Consider the following 26648-nt stretch of genomic DNA (forward strand, 5'->3'; position numbering starts at 1 on the left):
CAAACTCCTGACCTCAATTGATCCACCCGCCTCGGCCTCCCAAAGTGCTGGGATTACAGGCGTGAGCCACCACGCCCAGTCATTATAGAAGTAAATCACAGTAAATTAGGAACATTTAGTAGATCTAGTTTATTAAAATATGCCAGGAATAAATTAATTTCAAAGAGAATAGTAATATTGAATGGAATATAATGCTGTTCCCTTTTGTTTAGTGCAAGCAATAGCTAATCTGATGTCATAAAAATATATCGAATGAAGAAGGAGAAATAAGAAAAAGGTAAACTGATTATTTAGAGTATTAAATAATTGATATATACACATTATATTTTACACATAAGCTTGTTATACAATATTTCCCTTTGGGTGGCTATTTGTTGCATGATATTTCAAATTTCAAAGAAATATTCACTCATAGGTACTACTAAATGTACCTGAAACAGCAGTTCACCTTCAAGGCAAAGACTTTTCATTTTGGAGCGTTAAGTGGTGCAGTAATGTCACAGACTTCTAGGAGTAAAGAAATCAATCAGTATCTTGGTTATATAGCAGAGGCACCCTGGGATTTATCTGACAAGTGATGAGATCTCAGCCATTTTTCCTGCTATTCCTCTGCAACTCTATTTAAACTCTTCAATAGGAAATCTGGCCAAATGCAGCAAAAAGAAGAGAAAGAGTAAGAAAAAAATAGAAGTCAAATGCTAAAAAATAAAAGTAACAATGCACGTGAACTCTCTGACCTTAAATAAAAGGGGGAAAATGTACAAAGTATGGTGCTGAACAAAGCCTCACTGAAATAAAGAAAAAGTTTTGGTTTTGCTTTCTGTGCACGCTGCTTAATATATCACATTTTACTATAGATACTATTTTTCGATATGTTCTTTATTTCACTGAAAGTTTATGTCCATAATCAGCTTCACCAAATGTTCTGCAGAATTTCCAAATCAACTAGGTATTACCCAAGAATAATCTAGTCATATATAAATTATATACTGTACTTGAAGATTTTGGAAATAAAATAAAATACATGCTCCAAAAAACTTACAAAGAATTAGAATTTTCAAAATATTAGACCAAGAACTATATTGAGAAAAATATTTACTCTCTTAATTTACCTTTCTTTAGCCAGGTGTAATTAACATTATACTATTTTGAAAATATTCAATATATTTTCAAGTTCTGTGAAATATGCAAAACGTTTAACATTTGAAAATATCTAATATCAGCACTATATTAAAATATGTATTCTTATACAGTAAGTCTTTGGTCAAAAAGATATGAGATCAAGTTGTAATAAAGAACAAGGAAATAAAGGTAATGATTTTTTTCTTTTTCATTGAGATACATTACTTACAGTATAAGGCACAGATCTTAATTGTAAAATTCAATACATTTTACTTACTTATATACCATGGCACCACAAGTCAAATGATGAAAATATTTCAAGCTTCCCAAAATACAGTTCCATACGTTTTCTGATCAACAGCCTCTCGATCATTCCATTACTGGTAAACATTGTTGGGATTTGTTTCACCATATGTAAGTATTGCCTGTTTTTGAATATCATATAAATGGAAACAATACTATGTAAAATACATCCATAGTATTGTATCAAACTTAAAATTCCTTAAGTTTCTTTATTATAAATAACAACTCTGGCTTCCTATTGGTCTTTACATAAAACGCTTTATTGAGATACAATTGGCATATGTTCCACCGTACAGTTTGGTAAGTGTTGACACATGAATACTGCTGTGGAACACTCACCAAAACCAAGGTGATGAACATGTTGATCACTCCCAAGAGTTTCATTTGCCTCCTTGTAATCATTTTTTGTCATTCTCCCAGACCGGCCTTCCTTCGTGTTAAATTTGGCCTAATGCTGCCTCTGTACTTTGAGCTCCTAAATAGCAAACTGCAGTCCAATTTAAGAGTATATTCTTGTAACAAATATCTGAGTCTCAGCCAATCACAGGCTGCCAACTGATCAGACCATGTCCATATAAGGCAAATGCAGAGCTGTCAAGTTGTTTCTAGGTATCGCTTTTTTCTTCTGTCTGTAAATATGGCTTGTCCACATTGCTGGGTGGAGATAGCTGAACCTCTCTTGGTTCTAAGGGATACCCAATTACCCAATTTATCATTCTTTGCTCAAGTAAGCTCTGCTAAATTTAATTTGTTAAAAGTATTTCTTTGGCCAGGCGCGGTGGCTCGTGCCTGTTATCCCAGCACTTTGGGAGGCCGAAGCAGGGGGATCACGAGGTCAGGAGATCCAGACCATCCTGGCTAACACGGTGAAAAACGTCTCTACTAAAAAAATACAAAAAAAATTAGCCAGGCATGGTGGTGGGTGCCTATAGTTCCAGCTACTACTCAGGAGGCTGAGGCAGGAGAACGGTTGAACCCTGGAGGCGGAGCTTGCAGTGAGCTGATATCGCGCCACTGCACTCCAGCCTGGGCGACAGAGTAAGACTCCATCTCAAAACAGACAAACAAAAAGTATTTATTTTAACACTAGGAAATCACTATCTGCTTCCTGGTATTATGGATAACTTTGCATTTTCTAGTATCTTACATAATTTAATCATACAGAATATCTACTTTTTGGGTATAGCATCAACGCTCAGTATCATTACTTTGAGCTTCATACTTGCTGTTGTATTTATCCATAGTTTGTTACTTTTTATTATTGAGAAGTATTTCAATATTTTCATATACAAATAATTGTTTACTCATTCCCCTACTGATGGACATTTGGGTTGCATTAAGTTTTTGACTATTGCAAATAAAGCTGCTTTGAATATTCACATACATGTTTCACAAGGACGTATGCATTAATTTCTCCTGGGTAAACACCCAGGACTGGAATGACTGGGGCATAAGGAGATACACACACACACACACACACACACACACACACACACACACACACATTTACTATATATGCATGTAGTTATTAACCAACTGCCTGTTTTCCAAGTGATTTTAATTTATATGCTCCTAATGAGTAATGAGATGGGTATTAACTGATAAACTTATTCACCATATACATATCTTTTTGTTTGAGAAGTCTGTTAAATACTTTGCCATCTTTAACTCCGTTGTTTGTATTCAAGTTATTGATTTGTGAGTGTTCTTTATGTAGTTTAGATTCATATACTTTGTCAGAAATACATTTCTGTTTGTGGATGGACTTTTCATTGTTTAAAAGTATCCTTTGAAAATAAAAAGGTTTTAATTTTTATTAAGCACAGTTTTTTATTACATAGTCAATGCCTCTCATTATCTACTTAAGAATTCTTATCTTAACCAAGCCCATGTACTTTTTGACACCAATATGTCTTCTCTCATAGAGTCTATTTAAACTTCTGCCCACTTTTTATTGTTTTCTTATTTGTTTTCTTATTCTTAACTTTTGAAAGATTTTCATGTATTCTGAACGTCAGTCTTTTATAATTTCTCTAACAGCATCTTACTGTGATCATGGTTGTACAACTCTGTGAATATAAGAACCAATGAATTGTACTATTTAATTTGGTGAATTTTATGGTGTGTAAATTATGTCTTAATAAAACTGTTTAAAACCCTATTCATTTTCTTAGCAGCATCTTCCAAAGAGCAGAAGTTCTTAATTTAAATGCAGTAAAAGTTCTCTTTTTTTAGCTGATCATACTTTTGTTGTCATATTTAAGAAATGTTTGCTTAATCCAAGATCACTGGAAATTTATTCTTTTCTTTTTCTACAAGTTTTATGATCGTATTTATTTATGTATTTAAATCAATAAAATTGTATGTATTTACTTTGCACAACATGATGCTTTAAGATATATATACATTGTGAAATGTTAAGTCTAGCTAATTAACGTATGCATCACCTCACATAGTTATCATTTTTGTGGTGAGCACACTTTACATCCACTATCTTAGCATTTTTAAGAATAGCATATATTATTAACTATAGTCCCATGTTGTATAATGGATCTCTTGAACTTATTCATCCATCTAACTGAAATGTGTAAATTTACATTAAGGTCTGTGATCTAGGTTTAGCTTATTTTGTATATAGTGTGCGGGTATAAATTACACTTCATTTTTTTCTGCATGTGGACACACAATTGTTCCATCACATGTTGAAAGTTTATTTTTATTGACTAAATTGCCTTCGCACTTCTATTAAAAATCAATCAAACATGTGTAAGTGAGTCCAATTCTATATTTTCTATTTTGACCCACTAATAAGTTTGACTGGGAATTGAATACAAGCTATGAGGGAGAAAGTACAGAATCTTAACTACCAGACTACAAGGTAGAGTGACAACACTAAAATATTAGAATATTTCCACACCACCACCACACTGTCTTGATGTGTAGCTGACTTAAGAAACCTTGAATCAGGTACTGCAATGCCTTAAACTTTGTTCATTTTCAAAGCTGATTTGGCTGCTAGAACCTTTGCATTCCAATGTAATATGTAGAATCACTTTGTCAATTTATCCCAAAACAATCCTGCAAAGTGTTTATTGAGGTTACAATAAACCTATACTTCATTCTGGAGAGAATTTATATCCTAACAAAATAGAGTCTTGCAATAAATAAACCCATTACATCTTTCTTTTATTTAGACTTTGTTCAGTGCTCCTCATCAATACCATGTATTTCAGTATTTAGGCCTGTGCATCTTTCTCCAGATTCATCTGTATTTTATATTTTGTGCTATTATATATGATTTTGTCTTTAATTTCATTGTATGTTTGTTGTGAATACAGTGAAATGCATTGAATTTGTGTGTTGATCTTGTAACTGAAAAACTTCCTAGACTTGCTTAGTTCAGGTACAGGTTTAAAGATTTCATAGGATTTTTTTTGCCAACTATGTTGAGATATAATTCACATATCATAAATTGTAAGAATTCAGATTTTTTGAGTAATTTTGGCAGCTTGTATTATTCAAGAAATTTATCAACTTCATCTATTATCAAGGCTTCTCAACCTTGGCCAGCACTACTGCCATTTTGGACAGTAGTGGCGAAGAGAGGGTGGGGAGGAAAGTCACTCCTGGGTGAGAATGTTGCTTTAAGTTGTCAGATTTACTAGCATAATTTTTTTTAAATAAAAGTTTCTTATTATCCTATGTGTGTTCTATATGTTTATCTTTATCTGTGTCCATACACATATGTATATTTTGTACTGATGCCACCTCTCTCATTCCTGAAACATAAGTTAAGTTACGGGCAATTCTGTCATCTCCCTTGGTAGGCTTTTGAGCCTGACTGCCAGAGTGTAGATTATTTGAGCCCCTTTCACCAGCCACCCATGGCAAGTCACCTGCACCCTTCCTGTGCTCTGGAGGTTACTTGCTTCTTGCCTAGGGAATTCAGGCTGGCTCTGGCCTTACCAAACCTGCACATTTCTCTAGCAGCCAATGGGCTGCAACTATAATTTCTGCAAAGAGGCCTGAACTCCATTCTCAGGAAATGAACCCACTTCCAAAATTCTCTTTTTTGTGTGTTCTCTCCCTCAGCCCATATGGTATCATGTAGAATCTTCATATGCCTTATAGTCATTCTTTTACCAGAATAAATAATAATTTTATGTGTTACACGTCCCCTGTTTTAATCTTTTAGTGGTGTCTATCTCTTGTGTGGATGCAGATTAACATAGAATTGCAACTGCTGCCAGTGAATTAAGAGGTTTGTGAATTATGAGAATTTCATTTTGGATTTTGCAAACACATGCTCTGCCAAACCTGGTGTGAGCCTAGAGTACTTTTCCCTCCAATCCTTTGGGTGATGCTTTACCCAGCTCAGAAAGTTTCCTCCCAAACATGTGCTGATCGGTACTCAACTGAAAACCCAATACAGACACAGCTGATTTACTGAAAGCACTCTATACTTTGCCCTGTGAACTCACCTTGGCCTCCCTGAACTCCCCGTTCCATCTGCTAAAATCAGGGAAAATGCCAGGCTGTGCCTGGGTTCCCCTCCCTGCCGCTCAGGGAGGCCGGACACTTTCTTCACGCTGTAATCTGTGGCCAGCGCAAGGCTCACCTTGTTGGTATCCCATCTCTTGGGGATCATTCTTCTTCATTAACTGATACTTCTCTTTTAGATGCTGGTTCCTGATTATGTATTTCTCTTTCTAAGATCACATCTCAGGATCATATTGTTACTCATGCAAACATTAACATAAACATGCCAGCTCCACTGTCAGATGGAATTAACTCCTGAACAATGCCCATCACAATGCTTTGTCAATTAAGGGCATCTGTTTAGAATTCTATAAACAACTTTCATCAGCACACAACCTTCTTCAGGTTCTCACTCTAATTCCCGAACTCGTCATAGTCGAAAGGAAACTGCATTGTATCCTTAAATCTTCTCAGAGTGAAATTACTTTTGCATTTGTTAGGCTTTTATGCTATATTCTCTTTTAAAATATGATTTCTGCCTGATAGGACAAAAACAGTCTATGTCTTGAAAATCTCAGAAAAATTATGTGGTTTCTCAAGATTTGAGCTGTAAAATTTAGCAGGTAATATTTAGCATGTTTTCCTATTTGTTCCTCCTCTCCCACCGTAAAGTTCTGGACACTTATCAGCTATTAAGGAACAGAGTGGAGGAAAACACACGGGGTCACCAGCGTTCAGATCAGCTTGAATAAACCACAGTTTCTGTATCATGGCCCTTTGCTTTGAAGCCCTTAGAGACTTACCTTTGTCAGATCCTACAGATTACTGAGCCCAGAGGATAAATATAAGTTAATTAAAAAATATGCCCACTAGGGTTGGTAAGAGAGTGACAGCTTGTTACAAACAAAGACAAAAGCAACTGTTGCATAAACAGGGAGTCTTTAAAAACAATTAATTCATTCACATCTTTTGGTAAAACAATTGAAAAGAAGTCAAAAGCAAGAACTTCTTTATTGATTTACTCAAAGAAATATCTGACTAGGATGACTAGAAAGACTCATTGCTGTTATGATTTGCACATTTTCTCTTCATGGACTGACATACCTTTGAATTGGAAAGTCGCCACATGAGGATATGGTGAGAAGAAAAGGAACTAGTTTTTTTTTAATTTAATGTTTATTGTTATCAGGCTGAGATATACAAAGTCCATTATTACTCCAGACACATACATACAGACACACACACACACACACACACACACACACACACGCACTTACCTTTAATACTTCATAATAGGGGCAATTTTGAGTTGGCACCTGAATCTCAAACTCCAAAAGTGTGATGCTTCTATGTATCACATTGGTTACCTGTTACTATGTAACCAATTACCCTAAAATTAGCAGCTTAAAACAGTACGCATCTATTTTATAGTTTTTCTAGAATCTAGGCATAGCTTAACGAGGTTGTCTGCTTGTGAGTCTCTCAAAAGGCTATGATCAGATTATCCTCCAGGGTAAGGGTCTCTTATGAAGGCTCAACTAAAAGATCTCTTCCACCAGTTTTGGTAAGACTCATTTCTGAAGGACTGATGGACTGAGGACCTTATCTCCCCACTGCCTCCAGGCCAGAGCCCACCCACAATTTCTTGCCATGTGGATCTCTCCAACTTGACAATGTGGTTCATCAAATCCAGCAAGAGAAAGAGTCAGTGAACAAGATGGAAATCACAATCTTAGGTAACCTAATCACATCTGCTACCTTCCACCAACTTTGCTTTATTCTGTTTCTAAGAAGAAAGTCTCTAAGTAAAGCCAATTGAAGGACTGAATATACAAACAATGACTAGTTCATATACAAAAGTAGAGAATCTGACTCCCAATATGCAGCAACCAGGAAAACAGCCCCCTTTCTCACCGCAGGGAGAAGAAATGTCTTTGAGGTAATGCATAAGTTAATGAGCTGTCTTAGCCATTTCACAATGTATACATGTGTCAAAACATGTTGGACACCACAAATACATACAATTTTATTTGTCAACGGAAAACAAAACAGGAAGCCAGCCTGTTATAAATGAGACTTGTGGGAAGCCAGTTTGCTGTCTTTAGTGACAATTCAGAAAGCTAAACAATAACTTTTGTAACAATTGGTTCAAAATGACCAGAACTTTAAAAACTCAGTTTCTCTAATTTTTGTCCCATTTCCTAACTTAGGATCAACCAGAGAAAGACAAATATACACCCGTAACCAATCCCATAGGGTGTCCCACTTCCAGGTAGCTGGCCTGCAGCTTCTTCATGCCAGTCGCCTCCAATCAGGGCAAGCTTGAAGCTGTCCTCTTTTTCACTATAAAGCTCTCGCACTTCTCTGCCTGCCTTTGAATCCCTGCCAACATCCAAGTAATGTTGGCTGACTCTCTTGCTATGCAAGCACAGGATAAACGGCCTTTGTTTTTCCCATTTGGTTGGTCTTTGTATATATTTTTTTGCCACATTCGAAGGGAAGAGGTGTTACACAAGGGTGTCACACAAGGATGTGTGGGTCATGCAGGCCACCTTAGACATCTGAGTACCACAGTGCTTAAGCAGACATTGTAAGCATTCATCCTCCCACAGCTGTTTTTCTTTGCTTCTGCTGATTCTGGTCAGTAATGTTTCTGAATGACACATTCCATCTTCGGACGTTTTTTAAAAAAATATGCTGGTGATTTTATTTATCATCCCACTTAAGGTCTGTATGAGTGCCTTCCCGATGTACAATGAGATGAGAGCTTTGCTATTAGTTCCTAAGTTTCAACTCCCACATCTACTTTTACTCTGAGCCCCTCTCAACACCGACTATGGCACTTTCACCAAATGTCTCCTAAAAGCAAGTTTTCCTGTTTATTTTCATCAATTGTCTGACTAAAGAACTGTTCCATAATTGAGGGATTTGATCACTTGGACTCTTGTCAATTTTTTTCTTCCATATTGAACTTGGACTCTAACAGAAAATTTATCTGAAAAATGTAAATATATTTTTAGGTTTAAGTAAACACATAACAATAAGTTATGGAAATGGTACCCTTCAAAACAGAAAGTTGAATATGAGCTTGAATCATTAATATGTTTGGCTGTTTATAATTCTTATAGACATCGATCTCATCCCTCTCTAGTAAGAAACTCATTATTCATCCTCATACCAATCAGTTAACATTTGCCCAGCAAAACACCAAATAGTGACTCCTTGTACATAAGTCATCATTCTTTTTTCTTATATATGACTTGACTAGAGTACAAGTGCCCTTCTAAACAGCGAGATGACTGTCTTTTAGCCAGGTCACTCTCCAGTCGAATTGGAATATAAGGTATAGAGAAAAAGAATGCGGGTAGTAAGACTGCCAAAATCTAGATCCACAAACAGAAATGCTTTCAAGAATGTATAAAATAAAAGACTAAGAAAGGTATGGAATAAAAAGATTCCAGCAAATGTGTCCCACGCAAGATTACCGTATATCTGAAAGTTATTTTTGAATTTTTGTAAGTTCTTGTCAAAATCAGAGAAAATTTGGACATAAATGTTTGGGTTCAGGGTTCTAACAAAATAATGCCTGTTTTTCCATATTGAGTTCATAAAGGATTGAAAAACAAGCAAATGAATCAGAGGAGTGGGAAAAAAAAACAGCCTATTTAGTAAAATTCGAGAACAGGATGTTTGATTCCAAGGCTATTCCCTTGAAACCCGCCTGGGAGGTCAGCTGATATCTCCTTCGAAGAGGCAGATAAATTCCTGCTCTGTGGTGGAGAGAAGGTGGGAGTGTGCATTCTAGATAGGCATCTGGATCATGAACTGAGAGGGAAAGGAGTGTTGATAAAAGAATATGTTAGCCTGTTCATTTTCTTCTTCTAATTTCATGTATCAGGCAACTGGTTCTTTTCAGTGGTGAGGAAAAAATGGGCAGGAGAGACTGAAGTGGGACTTCAAGGAGGTGCCCTCATGGAGACTCGATACCATGAACATGTGTTCTCCACAATCATAGGCATCTTCACGTGGAGTTCACACATGTGCTCCCTGAACCAGCATGTTTTGAATCCTTACTCTACAATAGCCACTTGACACTCATCACAAAGATGAGTAATATAGTCATTGCCCTCAAGTAACTTAAATTCTGTAGAGGAATATAAACAAGCCGACATTGTAGATTGTGATAAATGCCATTATTACGATTAATTCAGGACAATGTAGCAGTAAAAATAAATTGTATTTAAAGTATTTTTCTATGGAGGGTCATGTTCATGTACTAGTTAGTGGGAGGCATCTGGTCCTACTCTGATAATTCTAGGAATTTTGGTATAGTTTGATATTGAGATATAATACAGGAGAGAGAAGAGATAAATTGAACTGAATTAAAAACCAGCCTTCTATTTCAAGTAATGAAATTCACGTTTTCCTAAAAACAACGGAAGTACCTTAAATCATTTCAGCCATGTAAACAACATTATTAGATTTGTGTTCTTAGGAATGTCATACTGGCCCGAGTGTGTTAAAATAAATCAGATGAGAAAGGTCAAAAGGCACTAATATCATTATGAAATTTGCCCAAGCAATTCAAGTACAAAATCATAAAGGACTGAACTATGGTAGTAGCAACAGGAATGAGAAATGTGGCTAGATGTAGTTAACATGAACTTTTATTCTGCCAGGTATTTTTGAAGTTATTTTTTGTTGTCACTTTTGTTTACTAGGCCACCATTCTTTGCTGGTTCACTGTACTATATGTTATTTGTGCAAATAAAAGAACTTTCCTTTCTTGGTACAGGGATGGCCCCAAGTCCCCATATTGTTGAATCATTGAAATCAACCCCCTTGGCAACTATAGCTTGTCATATGTGTGGGCGTATATTCCAGGAGAAGCCAATTAGTGTCTTTATCATTGACATAAGAATATTGAGACAGAGGAGAAATGACAGGTAATTTGAACCCCGAAGAATGAAAAGAATAAGAAATCTTGTGTTGCTAAATATCAAGGCATATGGAGTATTTTATAAACAGATACAATCTGCCATATAAACATAGAAGTCAATAGTAAAATGAGAATGATAATATAGTCTCCATACAGTTGGACTTTGCAAAAGTTACACCAAACGCAAAACAAAACAAATAATAGCCCCACACAACATGTAAGATTTCACTGCATGAAATCTTTAAATGCACACATTACTGTGGCTCAAAAATACCCATTAGAATACTAAAAATAAAATACATCATTAGAAATAATAAAAGGAAGATTAGAAGCACAGATAAACTTCATCTTGAATATATTTTTTAAGATCTCTTAAAGGTTAATCAGAAAAGATAAAAATCTCCCCAGAAAAATGTGAACATGAGCAGAAGACATGATCATTCACAAATAAGAAATGTTCCAACTAAAAAGTAGGCAAAGCATCTGAACGGATTACTCCAAAAAACACATACAAACGGCCAAAAAAGTATATTTTAAAAGCTGAGCATCACTAATCATCAAGGAAATGCAAATCAAAACCATAATGAGATAGCATCTTCCCCCAGTTAGAATGGCTATTATCAATAAGACAAAAAAAATAACCAACACTGGTGAGGATGTGAAGAAAAGGAAACTCTTATACACCGTTGGTGGGAATGTAAATTAGTACAGCCATTATGAAAAACAGTATAAAGATTTCTCAAAAAACTGAAAACAGCACTTTGGGAGGCCGAGGCGAGCAGATCACGAGGTCAGGAGATCGAGACCTTCCTGGCTAACATGGTGAAACCCCACCTCTACTAAAAACAGAAAAATTAGCTGGGCGTGGTGGCGGGTACCTGTAGTCCCAGCTACTCCGGAGGCTGAGGCAGGACAATGGCGTGAACCCGGGAGGCGGAGCTTGCAGTGAGCAGAGATTGAGCCACTGCACTCCAGCCTGGGCGACAGAGCAAGACTCCGTTTCAAAACAAAAAAGAAAGTAGAACTACTATATGATCTAGCAATCCTGCTACTGTTTATCCAAAGAAAAGGAAATCAGGACATTGAGGAGCCATCTACACCCCCCATTTACTACATCATTATTCACAATAGCCATGATATTAAATCAACCTGTGTGTATATCAACAGATGAATGGATATAGAAAATGTAGTACATATACACAATGGACTATAATTAGCCATAAAAGAATGAAATCCACATTGTGCTATGTCATTCACAGCAACTTGGATGAGCCCAGAGGACATTAAGTAAAATAAGTCAGGCATAGGAACACAAATACGGCATGTTCTCGCTCATACATGGGAGCTGAAAAAAAAAAAATTAGCACATAGAAGTAGGGAGTACAATTGTGGGTTATTAGAAGCTGGGAAGCATAGCAGGAAGGGGAGGATGGGGAGCAGTTGGTTAATGGATGCGAAGTTAAAGCTAGATGGAAAGAATGAGTTCTCGTGTTGCATAGCACTGTAGGGTGTTGATAGTTAACATACTTTATTATATGTTTTCAAATAGCTAGAAGAGAGGATTTTGAATGTTCCAAACACAATGAAATGATCAATGTTTGAAGTGATGCATATACTAATTTCTCTGATTTGAAAATTAAACATTTTATAATTTTATACATGTATCAAAATAATACTATCTCATAAATATGTACAGGTGTTACATGTCAACCAAAAGTAAAAGAAAAAAGCAAAATATTGAATTTCATTAGAAAGGAAAGACTGCTAAATAAATGTAAAAATTAATGAGACATTTTGTGCATGAAGAAAGTAAAAAGTATATGTGGAAAAAATAACTAATAATCAGAATTAAAAGAATGGGCAAATAGTAGGAATCTAAATTGGCATAAATATTTTGAAGAATGAAATGTTAAGAATTCACCAACTGTTAGGAATTCATTCAACACATTTTGAAAACTCAAAATTTGGCATGTGTTTCAATTAATGTACTTTTCAAAGAAATTATGTGTAAAAAGTTAAAATAAGATTTTCTTTATAGAGAGGTATACTGTTGCAGTACATTAGTATCAAATTACAGTCAACACAAAGGTAAAGTTTTCTTCCATAAAATGAGATTCATTTAGTTAATTAAATATGATATATTGGGATATTTTCTGTATAATATAAAGTAGAGATACTTTTGGAAAGACATATTTTGTGAAATATTTACTTCTTGATATTATTCATACTCATATATCCTGTTCAGGAAATGCTAGTGAGTGGACCCATAATATATAAATTTCATCAACAGTTTCACCCTTCTTAATGATAATGAAAGGCCTGATAATTAAAGCAGCTAAAATATATCAGCAATAATATAGCATACACAAAGACATCACTGTTTCCTAAATTGCAGTATTTGAGCTAAAATCTAGCCAAAGGAACTTGGGTTTGATGGGTGCTCTGTTTCTGTGGCATCCTTTTTTCTTCATTTTCTCCTGCTTGTTTCATGTTGCCTGACTATTTAGTAAGACTATTTCAGATTTTTAAAAGAGGCATGTCCAGAGAGCCCTGATGGATGAGGGTGTGCTGCAATGATACCTGGGGAAGAAATGAGGAACACAGCCCTGATGCAGCAGCTGCACAGCCAGGGCTCAGGAAAGTAAATACTTGTGTGGATACAGCAGCAGCTAGAACTGCCTTGTGACACAAATGCAATTGTAATAATTTCACTTTTGAAGCCCACATTTGCTGCTTCTTAATGTAGAAATTTGCCATACTATGTATCTCTCTGACACAGAATTGCAACTGATGCCCCAGAATTAAGAGATTTGTGAATTATGAGAATTTCATTTTCGATTTTGGGAACACGTGCTCTGCCAAACCGGTGTGAGCTTAGAGTACTTTCCCCTCTAATCCTTTGGGTGATGTTTACTCAGCTTAGATAGTTTCCTCCCACATGTGTGCTGATCACTCATCAACTGAAAACCCGACACAGACACTGCAGACTTACAAATATTCCAACATAACTTTCAGTTGTAAAGTTGTCTAGAGTGGTGCACATTTCTGGCATGTTTTTATACCAATGACAGAAATCAATTCAGAGTTACTGGAAAATCATAACTGCAGAAAAGACTGTACACTCATCAGGTGAAGTCTGAGAGTTACCTAAGTCCTCATGTTAACCAGTTTTGCAACAGGAAAATCTGACACACTAAAAGGTGGAGTGACGAGTTAATATTATCAACCAGTAGCAAATTCACCTACTTTGTTCAGGTCATGTTGTAGAGAGGCTCTTAGTTACAAGTTCTGCTGATTTCCTTTTACATTGTATAAAACACATGTGCCTTATCATATAATATGCAAATTGCATTCTTAATGTAGAATTACAAAAACATGTGTTGCAATAGTGTTTATCTCAAAGTGCTCTAGTTTGTGAAAAACCTGCAGAAATGACCCCCTAACACTCACAGGAATACTACTTGAACGTTTACATTAAATCTTCTAGAAAAAAAGAACAGATGATAAACTAGACAATAAAGATATTTAAGGAAAGAATAACTTAAAGCACTATCCATATATATGTGTATATATATGTATATATATGTGTGTGTGTATATATACATATTCACATATAGGAATAATGAAGAAAATTGCACATAATGATTTAAGTTATAAACTTGCCTATTTTATTGTGGATTTGTATTGTGGATGTTCAACAAAAGGTCAAGAGTCCATGTATTAGTTATTGCTGTGTGGCAACCTTGGAGTCTTAGTGGTTTATGACAATACTTTTGTGTTTTACTCACAGGTCTCCATTGTCTGGAGTTTGCCTAATCATGTCTGAGCTCAGCTCTGCCTGCTTACCAACTGTGGGTTGGGGCCAGGTCTGCTCCCTCTGTGTCTTCGTGGTACTTGACACAGTGACTCTCCAGGGCTTGTTCTTCTCATAGCAGATAGTAGAAGTGCAAGAGGGAAAGCAAAGTAACATAAACATATTTAAATCTACTACTTTGTTTATGTTATGTCTCTTCATAATACATTGGTTAGAGAAAACTGCATATACAAGCTCTGCTTTCCTGGTATACGCCAAAATTAAATGACGAGAAAGCAAAGAATTAGGAACAACCATGTCATCTACCACATGAGAATATCTGGAGTGGTAGGAGTTCTGGTGATTTTATTCTTGCGTCTTGTTTTTAAGGGAATTTTGATTAGTAAGTTTCACAAGATTGAAAAATATTAAGGAGTTGAGCTACATCCCAATCCATATCATTCTGTTCCACAAATTCAGGCATTTTTAGAGTATGGTGTTGATTATATTTAATTCAGGCATTTTTAGAGTATGGTGTTGATTATATTTAATTCAGGCATTTTTAGAGTATGGTGTTGATTATATTTAATTCAGGCATTTTTAGAGTATGGTGTTGATTATATTTAATTCAGGCATTTTTAGAGTATGGTGTTGATTATATTTAATTCAGGCATTTTTAGAGTATGGTGTTGATTATATTTAATTCAGGCATTTTTAGAGTATGGTGTTGATTATATTTAATTCAGGCATTTTTAGAGTATGGTGTTGATTATATTTAATTCAGGCATTTTTAGAGTATGGTGTTGATTATATTTAATTCAGGCATTTTTAGAGTATGGTGTTGATTATATTTAGTACTCCTTAGCATCTTACCTTTTAGTTCAAATACCAAGGTTGTAAGAGACTGAGAAGACACTTAAATCACCCCAAAAATGCTTTAAATTACTCCATTATAAATTCTTAAGTGTCAATTCAGCTTTTATTTGAGAGGTAAGAGACTACACCTATATTTTTTTCTTACATATCTCCTAACGTGAAGTGATAAGCCATCACATCCACTTCTGTATATTAGCGGCATTATGCAGCATTAGCAATCCTTGTGAATAGAGTCAAATGAATCTAGAGTCCATGGTTTATTACACTGCTCAGATGCCTTAACAGCTCTATACTATGAAGTGCACAGAATAAGAATGCTAATGCTTACTCCAAATTGTTTTTGTGAAGAGTTTATGAGATCTCTTATGCCAAGTAGCTGACACAAAACACACTTAATTGATATTTTTAATATTAAACCCAAATTCTCTTTGACATTTAGGGAAGTCATAAAAGCTGAAATTCAAAATTATCTTGCTCATATAATTTTATATTTATACTTTTGCTGCTGAATATCATAATACTACCCATACAGAATTCAATGCTAAAACTAAAAAAAGAGCACTCCTTCCAGGGTGAAAATTTATATATTTATATAGATTATATTGAATATTATATATTCATGTTTAGAAAAATACAAGACAATCAACATCTGATTAATGGACATCTATGCCAAATGTTCAAAAATATATATTTTAAAAATACTACACTCAAGTGACTCAAAATCAAAACCGAGAAAGAAGAATTTTGAGTCGATTATATCTCTTAATGAAAATTAGTCACCTTTTTTAAACAAAAGGGGAAAAAATGATGTCTTATTAAAAACAAACTATTGGGGTAAAAATGTTCAATTAGTATAATTAGAACACAAAAATCAAAATGAAACAAATCCCTGAAATTATATATCCAATAAATAATAGATAATTTTCTGAGCATTCGACCAGGTAGTTCATTAACATAAAGAAGAACATGTAACTTGTGTATGATTAACTTTTTCAATTTTAAAATAAGTTTAGTACAAACCATATGTTTGCATTGCATTGATAAACAGCATACAATTGTCCTTTTTGGTTAGTGCATTTTTGGTTGTACATAGGATAGTTGCATCATGTTAGGAGAAACTATTACTTATCTTTATTTGCATTTAGTGGAAAACTCAGATGAGTGGACTGGACACTCAACACCGACACAATGAAAATTTCAGTTTTAAAATGAATTAGTTGTCTGCATTGGCATTTCTTTCAGTTGATGAAATTCCAAGTTTTTTAATGAATTAAAGCTACATTTGCCTGAAGAAACCAGTGAAGCTACTGGCTAATTAGAAAATAATTATGTGCAAGGTAGGTTAAGAAGACACTTATGCAATGATGTTGCTGTTTGAGCACCAATATTGTTTCTACCAAATTTGTGTCCTGTAGATAAGAGCATGCAGAAGGATTTCTATTCACCAAAAACAACATAGAAGCATGGCAAATAATACGGTGAAATTTAATAGGGAATGCCCATGTCAGTGTATCCTGGAATTCCATAAAGAGTAGCATCACATAGAAAATGCATGTGAACATATTCTCCATGGAGAGCCATGCCTCAAAAGAAAAATAGCAGCTATTCATCATGATGCAAGGCTTCAAAAATCATTAATGATCGTGAAAGTCGGCCAGCTGTCATGGACAACCTTCACACAATTGCTTATAATCTATTCCTATAATATACTTTTTCACATGTTGAATTTTCTTTTTAGCCTTTTTTTAGTTTTTATCTTTTTTATTTTTCTTTTCTTAGTTTTTTTGTCCCACTATTTTAAATTGGCTACATTATATTTTATAACTCACTATGCTATGCATTTCATCTTTGCCTTATTTCTATACTGGATGCACAAATTGTGTAAAGACTTTTAGAGAGTTCTAATTTGTTTTATGCATTTTTTTGCATAATGTGGACTTTGTGTGTGAGCATTGTATATATATGTATTAAGGCATTGAAACTTACTCAATAAATGAAGAAATGTCTTTGTACATCCGCATTTGTGACAGATAAACTTTTTGAGATCTCAACTCTTTGGATGATTGCATATGCAGTGGAGACCCATTGCAGTTTTTGATCAATCTTGTCAAAAAACAGGTTGTCCACCATGGTACTTCAGATATGACAAAGTTATAAAGCTGGGTGCACACAATTGTCAACCACAGTGATATTTACACATTTTTCTTTTTGACCTATTTCTTTATGAATAGAGTTCAAAATAACAGTTATCTGCTCATAACTGTTATACCAGTGTGACTCATTAATATACCTAAGTGTTTATGCTTGCAGAGATACGTATGGTTATTATTGCCTGTTTTATTGTGTAAAGGGGATTATGAAGTGTTCTGCCATGTCTTTATATGTTTGTTAAATAAATCTTTAAAAATGTAAATGTTTTTGAATAATTTTTAAAATAATTTTTTCCAGAATTATATTTTGGGGATTTTCATCTCTCAGGATTTCAACATTTGGGACTATGGCATTTGAGATTTTGTCCTTCAGGATTATAATTGGCTTTCTTTTTAATGTTTCAATACTGGTAGAGCAATATGTCTTCTAGTTCGTTTTATCTTTCCTAATTGCCTGGCAATGATTAGTCTTCAAAATTTATGATGTTTTCAACTATTTTTAATTATATAATTTTCATGGTAATTTATTTAAATTTAGGAAAAATGCTTAAAATATTTCATCATTGAAATGAAAATATTATTATTTATGCATTTTTTCACCCTGTGAACATTTTCCTATGATTATGTATGTTGCCCATTTGTTTTGCTAACTTTATTTTTATTTACACTGTAGTTATTATTGTGAATGGGATTTTTATTATTGACCTATGTTTATTATACATGAGAAGGTTATAGATTTAGAGCATTATATTTTGTAAAAATACTAATTACCGCATGTTTCCATGTTTATATTTTATTGATTTGCCATCATTTTAAAATACAGCCATGCCTCATTGTGTTCTGCTTCATTTTATTGCACTTTGCAGATAAGTGCATTTTTTACTAATTGAAGGTTTATAGCAACCCTGGATACAGCATGTCTATGGGCAGCATTTTTCCAACAGCAGGTGCTCTCTCCACATCTCGGTATCACATTTTCCTAATTATCACAAGATTTTAATATTTTTACTATTATTTTATCTGTTATGCTGATCTGTGATCAATGATCACTGATGTTACTATTGTAATTATTTTGGGACCTAATGAACCATGCCCACATAACATGGCAAACTTCAATGATAACTGTTGTTGTGTTCTGACTGCTCCACAGACCGACCATTTTCTGGTCTGTCTACCTCACCTCAAGCCTCCCTATTCCTTAAGACACAACAATATTCTAGTTAAGCCAATTAGTAACTCTACAATGGCCTCTACGTATTCGAATGAAAGGAAGCAGGACTCTCACTTTAAATCAAATGCTAGAAATGATTTGGGAGGAAGGCATTTTCAAAGCCAAAATAGGCTGTAAGCTAGACCTCTTGCACCAAACAGCTAACCAAGTTGTGAATGCAAAGGAAAACTTCATGAAGAAAATGAAAAGTGCTACTTCAGTTAACACACAAAGAAAAAACCATCTTATTGCTGATATTGAAAGTTTTAATGGCTTGGTTAGAAAAATCAAACCAGACATAACATTCCTTCAAACCAATGCCTAATCCAGATCAAGGCTCTTTTGAAGTCTATGAAGGCTGAGAAAGGTCAGCAAACTGCAGAAGAAAAGTTTGCAGCTAGCAGAGGTTGGTTCATGCAGTTTAAGGAAAGGATGGGTAAGTGCAAAATGAAGCTACAAGCGTTGATATAGAAGCAGCAGCAAGTTATCCAGAAAATCTAGCTAAGAGCATTGATGAGCGTGGCTCCATAAAACAACAGGTTTTCAATGTGGACAAAACAGCTTTCTCTTGGAAAAGACACCACTAGGACTTTCATAGATAGAACGGAGAAGTGAATGGCTGGCTTCAACGCTTCAAAGGCCAGGCTGACTCTTGTTAGGGGCTAATGCAGCTGGTGACTTTAAATGGAAGCCAATACTCATTTACCATTCTAAAAATCATAAGGCCTTTAAGAATTTCCCAAATCTTCTCTGCCTATGCTCTATAAATGGAACAACAAAAGCTGGATGATACCACATCTGTTTATAGCATGGTTTTCTGAATATTTTTAAGGCCATTGTTAAGACCTACTATTTAGAGGAAAAAAAAAGATTATTTACAAAATATTACTACTCATTGGCAATGCATCATGTCATCCAAGAGCCCTAATGGAAATATACAAGAAGATTACTGTTGCCTTAATTCCTGCAAAAACAACAACCATCCTGTAGCCCATGGATCAATGAGAAATTTCATCTTCCAAGTCTTATTATTTATGAAATACATTTTGTAAGGCTATAGCTGCGATTGATAGTGATCCCTCTGATGGGTCTTGGCAAAACAAATTGAAAACCTTCTATAAAACCCAGACAAGTGGCCAAGAAACATATGAAAACAATGCTCAACATCACTGATCATCAGAAAAATGCAAATCAAAACCACGGTGAGATACCATCTCATACTAGTTAGAATGGCTTTTATTAAAAAGTCAAAACATAGCAGATGTTGGCAAGGCTGCAGAGAAAAGGGAATGATTATACACTGTTGATGGGAATGTAAATTAGTTCAGCCACTGTGGAAAGCAGTTTGGAGGTTTCTCAAAGAGTTTAAAAAAGAACTACGATTCTGCCCAGCAATCCCATTGCTGAGTATATACCCAAGGAAAAACAAATCATTATACCAAAAAGACACATGCATACATATGTTCACTGCAGTACTATTCACAATAGCAAAGACATGAACTCAACCTAGGATTGGTCATATACACTATGGAACACTATGCAGCCATAAAAAAGAATGACATCATGTCCTTTGCAGCAACATGGATGCAGTGACAGACCCATATCCCAAGCAAATTAATGCATAAACAGAAAACCAAATACTGTGTGTTCTCACTTATAAATGGGAGCTAAATATTGGGTACACATGGACATAAAGATGGTGACAATAAACACTAGGAATTTATTGAGGTGCGGGAGAGGAAGGGAGCCAAGGTTTGAAAAACTATTGATTGAGTAATATGCCCATTACCTGGGTGATGGGATCAATTTTACCCTAAACTGCATCACACAATACACCCATGTAACAAACCTGCACATCTACCCATTAAATCTAGACTAAAAGTTGGATTTTTTTAAAAAATGAAAATCTACACCATGAATCTAAAGTAGAACTTTTTTAAAAAAGGAAAAATATATCCTTAAAAAAAAGAGTTTACCATTCTAGATGCCATATCAACATAAACAGGAGTTTGGAAGAAGCTGATTCCAACCCTCGTGTATGACTTTGAGAGGTCTAATATTTCAGTGGAGGAAGTAACTTCAGGTGTGGTGGAAGTAGCAAGAAAACTGGAATTAGAAGTTGAGACTAAAGATGTGATGGAACTACTGAGTCTTATGATAAAGATTTAATAGATGAAATGTTGCTTCTTATGGATAAGCAAAGAAAGTGATTACTTGAGAATAAATCTACCCCTGGTGAAGACACTGTAAACATTGTTGAAATTATAACTAAAAAATGATTATTACATAAACTTAGTTGATAAAGCAGTAGCAGGGTTTCAGAGGATTGACTACAATTTTGAAAGAAGTCTTTTGTGGGTAAAATGCTATTAAACAGCATCACATGCTACAGAGGAATCTTTCGTGAAAGGAAGAGCCAAACAATGCAGCAAACTTCCTAGTTATCTTATGATAAGATATTGCCACAGCCACCCGAGCTTTCAGCAACTACCACCCTGATTGGTCAGCAACCACCAACATTGAGGCAAGACCCTCAGCTAGCAAAAGGATTACAACTCTCTGGAGGCTCAGATGATTATCAGCATTACTTAGCAATAAACAATTTTTAATTAAGGCATGCAAATTGCTTTTAGAAATAATGTCATTGCACACTTCAAAGACAGAAGTATAGTGTAAACAATACTTTTGTATGAACAGAAAAACCAAAAAAAACGTAACTCACAGTAAAGTTTGTGGGGTTTTTTTTGTTTTTTGTTTTTTTGTTTTTTTTTTGGACAGAGTTTGCTCTGCTGCCCAGGCTAGAACAGGGGCATGATCTTGGCTCACTACAACCTCCACCTCCTGGGTTCAAGCAATTCTCCTGCCTCAACCTCCCGAGTAGTTGGGACCATAAGCATGCACCACCATGCCCGGCTAATTTTTGTATTTTCAGTAGAGACACTGTTTCATCATGTTAGCCAGGCTGATCTTGAACTCCTGACATCAGATGATCTGCCCACCTCAGCCTCCCAAAGTGCTGAGATTACAGGCGTGAGCCACCACACCAGGCCACTGTAATGTATTTTTAATTAAGGTACATACATTGGTTTTCAAACCAAATTCTATTGCACACAATAGACTACAGGGTAGTGTAAACATGACTTTTATATGCACCGAGGAACCAACAACTTCCTGTGACTCTCTTTACTGCAATATTCGCTTCATTGTGTTCAAACCCATAACATTTCCAAGGTACTCCTGTATGTGTTATATTTATTTTTTGTCATTCATATGTCTACTTGAATTGGTGAGAAATTTCATAACACCATTAAAGGTTTTACAAAGACCAGGAAACCTCCATCTTCCTCCTGCTCCTGTATCTGCATGCTTCTCACGGCTCAACATTAAGCCTTCTGCACTTTGGCCTGCACTCCCAGCTTGCTAAGAAAGTATTCCTCAGTTCACATGTTAGTGGATTACTTTGTCAGAAAGACCTTTTTGGCACCAGTAAAAATTTTTATATATTTCTTATTTTGACCAGTTGACATTATAAGATATATTTAGTTAATTTTGTAGTTCTAAACCATTTCTATCATTCTTTATCTTAAAAGAATAAGTCCTATTTGTTTGGGTGTATTATTCATGTGATGTTTTACTTGATTCTATGTGTTAATGTTTTATTTACAACTTTGTATCAATATTTATAAGTAAAATATTCTCTATGTGCTCTCCTTGCCAGCACAGCACTGCTTTATAAATATATTGAGAAGCTATCTTTTTCCTGTGTGCTGTTGAACTACGCAAACACCATGGGAGTTATCGATTTCATTTAATTTGCAAGAATTTACTCATAAAACCATCTGATTATGGCGAATTTCAGAGGAGAAGCTGTTTGAAAGAGTTATTTTTATTTTTAACAGATCTCGATCTACTTATATTTTCTATATATCTTTGATCCATTTTCCTTAAAATTCATGTCTTTTTGTGCATTTATTAGGAAGCTAATATTTTGCTATCCATTCTTTATTAAAGAGTATTTACTTTGCTTTTTTAAATCAATAATTTATTGAACACAAGTCAAGTGCCAGTCACTCTGCTGAATGCCGAGCACTGAGTGCTGACTATGGAAAATAAGGTCTGTGCCTTCGTGGCATGTACATTGTAGACCATCAAGAAAAACGGGAAAAAGCAAATGCAGAGCAAAGGAAAGCCAGCAGTGATGGAGAATCATTGCAGAATGCTCTATTGGGAAGGACGGCCAGGGACACTTCTCCAATTAGGTGATATTTTACCCAACCACTAAGAATAGGTGAAGAAAAACATCAAAGGAAAAGGAATAATATGTACATTTTCAATGAAAAAGGTTGAGATTTTTATTAATCGAAGAAAATTCTAATCAATCCATAAATAGTCTTGAGTGACAAGGACAATGTGAACAGCTCATCAATAAAGGGCCTCTGTTATTTGACTACCTCTTACACGTTGAACGTTCCAGGTTTCCTTAACCTCCAAGTCCCATAATCACACCTTTTAAACAAGACATGATTCATTCATACTCCAGTTCCAGAGTTAAAAGTATGTATTCAAGCATTTAGCTCCGTCTTACTGTCCTTCAGCTTTCCTGTGAATACCCCGACTATGATAAGTTTTAAACCATACTGGTTATAGCAGACCAAGTATTGCATTACTTTCCTCACTTTTTTATTCAACTTACATTTCTCATGAGCAGACAGGATGAAGTCTCAGGAAACATACTACAGTGTCAATATACTGTTAGATGCACAGTGATACATGTTTCCATTGATGATCTTACAGCTTAACATCATCATGCTGGTGCCCCTGCTGCTATTCTACCTTCATTACCTGGCCAGGCAATTAGTTCAAAGTAGACATTGAAAATTGAAACACGACTGTTTTTAGAACACCTAATTTTCTCGTGAATTTCTACAATATCAATCAAATTCAATGCCTTAAGTAGTAAAAACTGCCAAACAAGATTACTTTTTCATTGAAGCATTTTCTTAAAATACACATCTCTAGATGCCATGTTTTTTTCCCTTCTTACAATTAATTTATGTACATTGGGGATCTTTATGGTAGGGATTCTGTAGGCTTTTACATTATTTGAAATCCTTCAAACTCTTTCTGTACTGAATTTGTTCATATGGGTTTGTTCAATTTTCTGCTTTTTCTTCAGTGCTATTACATTTGACACATGTTGAGAGAGCTATGTATATGTGTGTGTGTGTGTGTGTGTGTGTGTGTGTGTGTGTGGATTGAATGTAGTATCAGTGAGAAAAGGGCCTTAAGACCATTTTTAGAAGCATCAACTCTTTTCTATAGAAAATAGATTCACAACCAACTTAGGACACACTAAACCATTATCCTTTATATTGTTCTTGGAGCTCAAGGCAAATTATACTTAGTGTGACGGTAAATGTTATCCCTCCTGATAAGCAATAATTTATTAATAAACCCAACAGGATTTTACCATCACAGGTGACTACGCTAATGAGTCAGGTAGCTAGTCATTAAATGTGAACACATTTTTCCACTTCTAATGAAATAGAAGGAGCAAGTGAAAACCAATGTAGCAATCACTGGGAAAAAGCACTGCCTTTATAAGCCTTTGATGTCAATTATGAAATACAAAAAAGGAGCAGGTGCAAAGAGTTGTTTTGCCCAGTTACTCATGCATATCCAGTGCTATTCACACTTCCATTTACTCGATGGAGTTGTTGATTATTGCATTCTTGCTTGGATGGGAGGAACACGACAATCTCAGAACAGTGTCCTGGGAACAGAGACTAACAGCAGGTGGAGGCAGCCAACTCCTGTCACATTGGATGTCATCAGTGCCAAAAATTTTAACAAAGAATTATTTGTGACTAATTTATTTTCTAGAGAGACTCTTTTATTATCTTTTCTCTGTCTTGCAATGAAGTCTTTTATTAATTATCTTTTCTCTGTCTTGCAATGAAGTGCAAGTGTTTGAAGATGGCCTTGAGAACTGTTTGCAATTAATTAAAATATACTTTACTCCAGAGTGGTTTTTTTCTACCTGCTTGAAGCCAGATGTCATTATAAAAGAGCCACATGTGAGGAGCTGTGTTCCAGATTCAAAATCATCAAAAATCTATCTTCTCTGTTTACGTAAGAAATAAGAAGAGCTTTTTTCTTTAATAAATCAGAATTAAAGATACATTGTTACATTTATAGTTTGAGGAATTTTAAAATATTTGTGTCTGAGGTAGGAAAGAGTTTATGAAGTAGACAGATAGGTACTTTTAAAAGTAGGACTATATTTATAATAAAAGTATATATTTGTTTATAATAAAAGCCATCTTCTTTGAAAACTTAATTTTATTTCTGTTGAGGTTTATTCTATTAACTTCTTTGTCCATAAAAAGGATATGCTTATCATACTTGTACCTTATATTTCATTCTATGGGAAAAGTCTATTAGGTGGAGCCAAGCATATTCGCACAACAAATGTAGTTATATAACTCTCCAACATATGGTTATTTTTTATCAAAATAAATTTGAATTCAGGCAATTAAATATTTTTTAGTCTTCATTACTCACTGAAAAGTACGTTCACATTTTGCCATTATTTCTCACCTTTTCTCTTTATACTTTTCACTGTGTTCTTCGACATAGGGACGGTGAACTTGATAGAGATAGGAAGAAGATTTCTAAAGTTGTCATTCAGAGAAATGATGAATATACTCTTGAGTGACCGAATGTGGCTCAACTTTGGTTCAGAGCTACTTTACAATCTACCTGTATCATAAACAGAGGATTTTATCATCACATATAAAATACTGCCTTAACAAGGTTCACTTGGAATAATTTACTCAAGAGATGGCGAGAGCTCAAGGCAGGGTCTTGGCTTCTGGGAAGGTGGAAAAGAGACAGTCGAGAAGGGATGTTGAGATGATCTGATAGACTGAGCAAGTGGTTTACGATAATTATTATCTCATTGTTGGGTGACAGAGTGGATAAAAATGACACTTAGGAAATGTTAGACAAGAGGGAAATGCCCGTTGCAGAGATGGTGTGGAGAAGATGAGACAATTTTAAAACAGTGGACTCATTTTGGAACATATTTTTTCTATATCATAAGACAACCAAAGATGTCCAGCAGGAATTTACATTGCATATCACTTTTCTAGTTGTGTTTTTTTTATCAGATATTTTTCAGATTTTCTCCCTCCCCCTGCTCCTCTGAAAATGTCATCAGGACCCCCTGCTGATGGTCCTAGGAGAAAAGTATGGCAGCCATGTGTCCTCCAAGTCCCTGCTCTTCTCAAGGGGCTGCATCACAGCTCTGCTGCGAGGGCTGGTGCTTGTGCAGTCTGTATTCTGAAATGTCCTGTCTGGATGTTGGGGGTCATGTGTAGGCACTAGAGCTAGGCATTGAGAACAGTCGCCTTGCCACCCTGTACCCCACGGCAGCCCAGTCAGCATCCTCCAACAAGTCCCTGACCTTCTAGTCTATAGAATCTGTGCCCATGGGGACCTCTTGTCGTGTGTGTAGTGACAAGTGCTATCTCTGTTCAGGGACCTCAATGTCCTCCCTTTCATCCTCCTGCACAACTTCTTCTACCCTCTCGTGCCAAGCTGGATATGTTAATTAGCAGTTGATGGAGTTTGAGAGTCCCTTTTCTTTTCCAGAACAAAGCCTATGTTTCAAACTTTACTACTATTATTTATTAAAATTCAAGAAAATTATTTGTGAAATTTTAAGCTAATCACTGAATTTTATATGGGTTCCAGGGGATGCCCACTCATTGT

General features: G+C 35.3%; 1 long non-coding RNA gene across 1 annotated transcript; it reads right to left on the reverse strand.

Moving 5' to 3' along the window:
• Positions 1-431: 431 nt before the first annotated feature.
• LOC105372189 (uncharacterized) lies at positions 432-25628 on the reverse strand. The gene is made up of 3 exons (XR_001753545.1): positions 25473-25628; positions 1400-1547; positions 432-642 (listed from the first exon to the last, which is right to left on the reverse strand). It is a non-coding gene; the product is annotated as an uncharacterized LOC105372189 (long non-coding RNA).
• Positions 25629-26648: the final 1020 nt, after the last annotated feature.

The sequence above is a fragment of the Homo sapiens genome, chromosome 18, assembly GCF_000001405.40.
Source record: "Homo sapiens chromosome 18, GRCh38.p14 Primary Assembly".
NCBI lineage: Eukaryota > Metazoa > Chordata > Mammalia > Primates > Hominidae > Homo > Homo sapiens.